The sequence below is a fragment of the Homo sapiens genome, chromosome 2 (genome assembly GCF_000001405.40).
Source record: "Homo sapiens chromosome 2, GRCh38.p14 Primary Assembly".
Classification (NCBI taxonomy): Eukaryota; Metazoa; Chordata; class Mammalia; order Primates; family Hominidae; genus Homo; species Homo sapiens.
The window spans coordinates 150,116,787-150,125,246 of NC_000002.12; the positions used below are offsets into that span (position 1 = coordinate 150,116,787).

At 40.6% G+C, this 8,460-nt stretch overlaps 1 annotated feature.

Annotated features, from left to right (window-relative positions):
- Positions 302–530: a silencer, noted in NCBI's record as "fragment chr2:150973602-150973830 (GRCh37/hg19 assembly coordinates)". NCBI's record gives its function as "represses an EF-1alpha promoter that drives an FKBP-Casp9 reporter gene in an ReSE screen in phorbol 12-myristate 13-acetate-treated (for megakaryocytic differentiation) K562 erythroleukemia cells {active_cell/tissue: K562(+PMA)}" and the evidence as "EXISTENCE:reporter gene assay evidence [ECO:0000049][PMID:32094911]".

Here is an 8,460-nt window from a genome sequence, read left to right on the forward strand (position 1 = left end):
CTTGGTTTATTGATGGCAGTTCCACCAGGCCTAATCGCCACACACCAGCAAAGGCAGGCTATGCTATGGTACAAGCCACTAGCCCGCCTCTTAGAACCTCTCATTTCCTTTCCATCGTGGAAATCTATCCTCAAGGATATAACTTCTCAGTGTTCCATCTGCTATTCTACTACTCCTCAGGGATTATTCAGGCCCCCTCCCTTCCCTACACATCAAGCTCAGGGATTTGCCCCGCTCCCAGGACTGGCAAATTGGCTTTACTCAACATGCCCCGAGTCAGAAAACTAAAATACCTCTTAGTCTGGGTAGACACTTTCACTGGATGGGTAGAGGCCTTTCCTACAGGGTCTGAGAAGGCCACCACAGTCATCTCTTCCCTTCTGTCAGACATAATTCCTTGGTTTGGCCTTCCCACCTCTATACAGTCTGATAACGGACCAGCCTTTATTAGTTAAATCAGCCAAGCATTTTTTCAGGCTCTTGGTATTCAGTGAAACTTTTATATCCCTTACGGTCCTCAGTCTTCAGGAAAGGTAGAACGGATTAATGTTCTTTTAAAAACACACCTCACCAAGCTCAGCCACTAACTTAAAAAGGACTGGACAATACTTTTACCACTTTCCCTTCTCAGAATTCAGGCCTGTCTTCGGAATGCTACAGGGTACAGCCCATTTGAGCTCCTGTATGGATGCTCCCTTTTATTAGGCCCCAGTCTCATTCCAGACACCAGACCAACTTGGACTGTGCCCCAGAAAACTTGTCATCCCTACTATCTTCTATCTAGTCGTACTCCTATTCACCTTTCTCAACTACTCATACATGCCCTGCTCTTGTTTACACTGCCAGTTTACACTGTTTCTCTAAGCCATCACAGCTGATATCTCCTGGTGCTATCCCCAAACTGCCACTCTTAACTCTTAAAGTAAATAAATAATCTCTGCTGGCAAGGCTATGCTGAACCTCCTTAGGCACTCTCTAATTAGATGTCCTAGGTCCTCCCAATTCTTAGTCCTTTAATACCCATTTTTCTCCTCTTATTCTGTTTAGTTTTTCAATTCATACAAAACCGTATCCAGTCCATCACCAATAATTCTACACGACAAATGTTTCTTCTAACAACCCCACAATATCACCCCTTACCACAAAATCTTCCTTCAGCTTAATCTCTCCCACTCTAGGTTCCCATGCCGCCCCTAATCCCACTCGAAGCAGCCCTGAGAAACATCGCCCGGTATCTCTCCATACCACCCCCAAAATTTTCGCCGCCCCAACACTTTAACACTGTTTTGTTTTATTTTTCTTATTAATATAAGAAGACAGGAATGTCAGGCCTCTGAGCCCAAGCTAAGCCATCATATCCCCTGTGACCTGCACATATACATCCAGATGGCCCGAAGTAACTGAAGAATCACAAAAGAAGTGAAATTTAAATGGCCTGTTCCTGCCTTAACTGATGACATTCCACCACAAAAGAAGTGAAAATGTCCGGTCCTTGCCTTAACTGATGACATTACCTTGTGAAATTCCTTCTTCTGGCTCATCCTGGCTCAAAAACTTCCCCCACTGAGCACCTTGTGACCCCCACTCCTGCCCGCCAGAGAACAACCCCCCTTTGACTGTAATTTTCCTTTACCTACCCAAATCTTATAAAACAGCCCCACCCCATCTCCCTTCGCTGACTCTCTTTTCGGACTCAGCCCACCTGCACCCAGGTGATTAAAAAGCTTTATTGTTCACACAAAGCCTGTTTGGTGGTCTCTTCACACAGATGCGAGTGAAAGTAACCGTCACCACAAACTGCTTGCTGTTCCACCACTGAATGGTACCTATTGTACAACATCCTGGCTGCACTCTAGGAGTTTCTCTTATAGAAATTTGCTCATTCTGGGCACGTGGCTCACGCCTGTAATCCCAGCACTTTGGGAGGCCAAGGTGGGTGGATCACGAGGTCATGAGATCGAGACCATCCTGGCCAACACAGTGAAACCCCGTCTGTACTAAAGAAAAAAATACAAAAAATTAGGGGGTGTGGTGGCAGGCGCCTGTAGTCCCAGCTACAGGGACTGGAGGCTGAGGCAGGAGAATGGCATGAACCCGGGAGGCGGAGTTTGCAGTGAGCCAAGATGGCACCACTGCACTCCAGCCTGGGCAACAGAGCGAGACTCTGTCTCAAAAAAAAAAAGATGTTTGCTCAAAATTTACTTTCACTCCGCTTCACTACTACAATTATTGGAGCCATGCTACAAAAGACACTCTTAGAGTTGTTGCAATTGTACACATCAACACTATTTTTCCCAAGGCCAAAGCTAGAACAATTTGAATAACAAACTAAGTTAGTATTAGATTACAACCCAAAGTATAAAATATACGTATTTATATATATGCATCTATACTGATATTAATAAGTCATTGAATAAATAAATACACAAATGGGGAGAAAGTGACAAACCTTCCTTACAAAAGAATTTCAAAAAACATTTCAAAAACAAAAAACTCTAGAATGTGGAGCTTAATTGTTCTCTCCTTAAATTTAAACTGGACTTAGTGACTTCCTTACTAAGAAGACAGTATTAAAAGGGGAAAATAGTAACTTCATGCTGAGGAAATCAGAAAGACACTACCTTAATCAGTGATCATCAATGTTAACTTCACCAGTTGAAACCCCCTTTGCAAAAATTACATTGGTGAGAAAATTACAACAGTAAAAGAAATCTGATTTAACCCATGCCCCATCTTGCCTTTCCCTTAATTATTTCTGGACTTAGCTAATAAATGCTACAAAATTTCCATAAACATTAAAATCCTCAGAGAGACCAAATTATTTTCATAGAATTGTAGTATTGGATGTTGAAACTCTACAGTATTTAATTTATCGAGAATCTGAGAATGGACAAATTTTACTGGGCAGAATATTCAATTATCAAGAACAATCTATTTTCTAAATTACCATGAGAGTGTGTGTGTGTGTGTGTGTGTGTGTGTGTGTGTGTATACCTGTGTGCTGTAAAAACAAAAGTGTATTGTCCCTGTGATATTTGTCAGGTCTCCACCATCAGACACTTGATCTCTACAGGCAGGAATACTAGCTACTGTGTATTATCTCCAGTGGGTAATTCACCCCTGGTCCCCAATCCTGGTTCTGCTCGCTGCACAGAAGGTGGCTTATTATATGCAAGAGCCTGACTGTATGAATGGGCTGCTCCAGGAAGGTGGGTCCAGATCAATCATTTCTGATGTTGAAAATTTACATTTGAAAAAGGGCTGTTTCCCAGTACCATGGACACAGCTATCAGGAGGGAAACCCCAGTGAAATGCCGGGGTCGTTGTTGTATTGGTGCTGTATTTTGTTTTGCTTTTTGTTCCATAAGTCTAAATAATCAATTTAAGCATTTTCATTCTGAACTGATCCAATTAATTAATTATGTTATCTTTGTATAAGTACCGCTGGGGAGAAATCAAAATAAAATCAGAAGCACAGGCGAGAGAGAGAGGAAAAAAAATCAAGTGTGGATAGTGGAAAGATAAAATAGATAAAATCAAATTTGCACCGAATGTGTTCCAGGTCCAAATTTCCTCCAGCACACATCTTTTGTAAGTAGCTTCCACAGCCCCCGAATGCGGCCAATAAGTGTTTTGCCAGATTCAATATAAATATAACAAGACTCTTCAAATATAACCCTGCTGCTTGCCTCACTGGGCGGTAGTAGCTGTTTACATAGCTCGTAGATAAATAGAAAACTCAATCTGCTTATTTCCAGCTACCATATTAGCAAAAAAGAAAGTTAACGAAGGACGCTGCAAAGGAGTGTGGTGTGTTTAATAAAACACTTTCCCCAGGAATTGAAAGAAGCCTCCGCATGTGGGATGCAGCAGCTCATCACTAATTCAGAATCTCCCTTCAGCCTCAGACTTTTGTCTTTCCTCTTCCAACTGCCGCACTTTCAAGCGTGATGGCTTGCTGAGTAGGCTTCCCTACTCTGGAAGGGAGCTCAGAGGGAAGGGAGAGGGAGAGTTCATTAGGGGTATTTCACAGTCACTCAGATCCCAGGGTCTCTGTCTCATCTTTGCAGATCACACTGCTCATAGAGAGTCTTTCTTTATTTTGTTACTTATCCTTGTACTGCCAGAAGTCTACAAAGACGGGGCTCCTGCATGTCCCCATTCACATCAGTGGGATGTGAGCACAATTCAAAGCCTATCCTGCACCCGTGTACATTCACTGATTGCAAATCAGCTTATTGTATTTTAAAAATTCGACATTTTCTTGAAAATGCAGCATTTGAAGATGAAAATCTTATTCTAAGAGAAGCATATTACAAAAAGGAAGAATAAAATAAAGAGATGAGAGCGAAAGCAGGAGGGGGAAAGAGAACAAAGAAAACACAGACAAATGAACAAAGAGAATGATCAGGTAGGATTATGTTTTCAAATCCAGATAGCTGACCTATGAAAACCAAGTTTTGCTTAAGGTTTTCATTTACTTCTATGCATGTATTTCTTTTCAGAAACCTCTCATCAAAGCCAATCAGCATTGCTAATGTATTGGTCATGTTCCAGCCTTGAGAAGTCAAACTGAGCCAACATTATTAAAGTCCTGCAAAATCAAAAGAGTCAAGACCCTTTCTCCACCAAATGATCCTTTTTTCCTTCAGTTTTCTGGATATGGAGACTTGATTACAGCACATTCTCGTAATTATAAGGTCTACTTTGAACACATTGCTTTATTCCTAGAAAGTCAATGGCCATTAATGATTTTATCGCTGAAATTGGTGGTTACAGGTGGGCATTTGTAGTTTTAACGTGAGCTATCTTTCAAAGAGAACATGGTTAATATGATTTAATAGGAACTACATGTTTTTATGAATCTATAGAATTCTCATTTCCCACTGATTAAATGAAACTTCTGAAGCTTCAAAGAATGTCTAGGTGAAAAATGGGCTGAATTCTCCTATTTGGAAACCTGTATGCTCTCATTTCTGCCCAGGTGCAGTATTTATACCACTGAATCTATATTCAATCTAATTTCCACTCAGTCCAAGCTGATCTTTAGGGCAGGGAGGCTGGCCTAGTAATGTAGAAGCTAGCTACATGTCCTTTTTTTTTTTTTTTTTTTTTTTTTTTTTGCATGGAAAGGACAACTGTTCCAAAATTTGAGCAACCCTCTTAGGTTTGGTCCTTTGCCTGACTGGTTGGCGGTTGTTTCATGTATTTGGCTGGTATTAGAATGCATAGGCAGAGACTACCTTGCACATGCATTCTACATCTATGCACATGCACGTGAACAGAAGTAGAAACATGTATGTCTTTTCTCACTAGTTTAGAATCCAAAGAGCATTTATTCAAAGGCAGTTACACTGTGTTTAAGGTTTAAGGACTTTTCTTTCCCCCAGATGAATAAAGCAGGCACAGTCCTTGACTTTAAAGTGTTTAGACTCTACATAGGAAGATATGCCATAAATAGTATAAAATAAAACAGTGATTTAAGAGCTAAGTTATGATATATGAGAATATGTGTCACAAGACACCTAGGGGTTTATTGTCAAATGTCTGTATAAGTAATGAGTGTTATAAGATCAGATGAATGGTATGAGCACCCATTAACTATTGTATCTTAGAGACAGTGTGAGCTGTCCTCATTTCTGAGGTATGATAACAATTTTCTTTTCTTTTCCTTTTTTTTTTGGGAGACAGAGTCTTGCTCTGTTGCCCAGGCTGGAGTGCAGTGGTGTGATCTCGGCTCCCTGAAACCTCCGCCTCCCGGGTTCAAGCGATTCTCCTGCCTCAGCCTCCCGAGAAGCTGGGACTACAGATGAACGCCACCATGCCCAGCTAACTTTTTGTATTTTTGGTAGAGACGGGGTTTCACCATATTGGCCAGGCTGGTCTCGAACTCCTGACCTTGTGATCCACCCACCTCAGCCTCCCAAAGTGCTGGGATTACAGAAGTGAGCCACTGTGTCCAGCCTGATAACTATTTTCTACAAGAGTAAAACATGTCCTGGTCCCTTGGGTATACCAGTGGAACCCATTGGTGTCACACTACAGGTTTATTATGCTGAGCCATTTTTGTTTCAGCTTTGCTGCTTATTCTGTAACACATTTTTTTTTTTTTACCCACCTGTACTTTGAAAGCCTGATCTTAGACTCTGAGCTTTAATACTCTGCATTTCCAATTCTGTTAGTTTTCTCTGCAGCCAAATGTGCTTACATTCTTGTTCACCCAGTATTAATAAAAAGGATGTTTGCACAGCAGGGAAGCATATTCTCATTTATCTCTGACCAGAAATGTGAAGAATGAAATGGCCTGATGGCCATTATCTTAACCCTGTGTGACCGAAAACATTCTGAAGTAGTGAAAGAAACAATTGGACCACAAAATCCTCATTAAAGTTTTCTTCTATCAGCATTAGACTGCAGATTAAGTCCCCAGTCACATTTCTCATAAGGGACTTTTTTTTTTTGCAATAAATAAATATATTATTTTGTAGTCTACAAAATAGAGTCATCTAACTTGAAAGACTACAAAACTCATGAGTTCAGAGCACTCAGTGGGGGTTACTTGGCATATCATTCCCTGAAATTCCTCCTACCATCCACCCCATTAAAGAGGAATATTAAAGGTCATGACCGTGTTCCTCTGTTGTGATGTCCCAGTCATCCCTTGGAAGAAAGTCAAAGCCATGGAAAGATGTTTCTATTATTTCTGCAGTGACAGGAGTTTCATATTCAGTTTGCTGCATACAAGATCTAAACATAAATGAAAGAAAAGGAATGAATGCATTGGGCTACTTCTCAAAGACAACATAAATAATTCTGAGACTTTTACTGTCATAAGAAACTCTTCAAGAGTAATGTAAGAAGCAATGACACACACACACATGACTAGTAAATATTTCTAAGCAAACTCTAATCAACAAAACATGATCACGAAGAATCTTTAAGTAGATTTTATTGCTGATGGCTAGTCCCTCACTTATAGAAAAGCTTTTCAGTATTTCTCAATATGCACATGGGTTTAGTCAATATATGGCAAAGGCCAGATTCTCTATATATTATTCCCCCTATATACTATTCCCCCCTAAATTAATGGGTTGAGCACAAATTAATCTAGCAACTCATATTTCTCGGATATCTCTATGTATCTAGCACGGAAGGACAAAAAAGGAAAGGCAGGCCTTGTTTGCTGTCTGATATCCTTGAAAGACAATTAAGCAATTAGTAAAAAGCCTGCACTGAATACCCATTACAAAATGCCAAGTAAATGAAAGTCTAGAGCAGTGTGAAGGGGGAAGCTACCTGCCAAATACAGTTACCGGGTGGGAAAGAAGTCAGGAAATGGCAACATTAGAGGGAGTGTTTTGGGGGAGGAAATATAGCTTCAACAGAGCTTTGAAGGATGATATGATGAAAGATGGCACTAGAGGGGTACTATTAAGGACTTGGGTCAAAATGCCAGAATAGTTGTTTCTCTGGGTCACTTGCTACCAAGAACAGTGCTGAGACACCAAATTCTCATCAAATTCCTCCTGGCTACTGGAGAGGTTGCCACCATGGAACGGGAGGAAGTTGGTCTCCTGGTCCCACATATCCCACAAGGGATCTTGACTCTCCTCCCCTACCACTCAGGGGACCCTGGGCTCCTTTCCTCTGGCTCTGAGTTGGTGAATGTTACTCTTTCAGAAGGGCTGTATACTCTTCCCCTCCCTTCAACCTTAATGCCATTACAGCTCTTCCACAGATGTCTGCTATGAAGAAACATCTAGTGAGGATTGTAATGCAGGTATAAACTATTAAAGTACTATATCAGGACAAGAAGATGAAGTCAATCTGAAAGAAGTGATTCATGCAACAAAAGAAAACAAAGTATAAAAAATGATCACATAAATTGACACTTCTGTAAATAGTTAGGGAAAGCCAGCTTGGTATATGTTGGATAAGCGTAGCTGAAGCAGTAAAAAGGAAAGTGAGAAAGATGCTAAGTTTGGTTTAAACTAACTAAGGCAATAGAAGTTGAGTTATCCCTAGGCAGCTGATACCTAGTGGGTGTGTTACTTCTGTTCCCAGCACCTAGCAGAGTGTCTTGTATATAGTAAGTGCTCAAATGTGTTGAGAAAATTGTATTGGGGCCAAAAATAGTACTTTTTAGTAGTTAGCATATAGGTGATGACTCAGAAACTACAAATAATTCCAAATAACCATGATTAATTCCAAGTGTCTTTGCTGTCTCTATATTGTAGTGTATCATTTGTAGAAGGTGGGAGTTGGAGGGTGGCAGAAAGAAGTTATAACTTCTTTTTAATACTCAGGTATTGTTTAGGCTTCCTTTTTCTTAAATGATAACCTGCACCTAAGTCCAATATATATTAAAACAACACTCAGCAACAATTATGAAAGTGCTAAGCAGGGTTGTTCTGATTAAAGTGGGCTTGGGGGTTCCAGAACTTTGCCTTTCTACTCGGT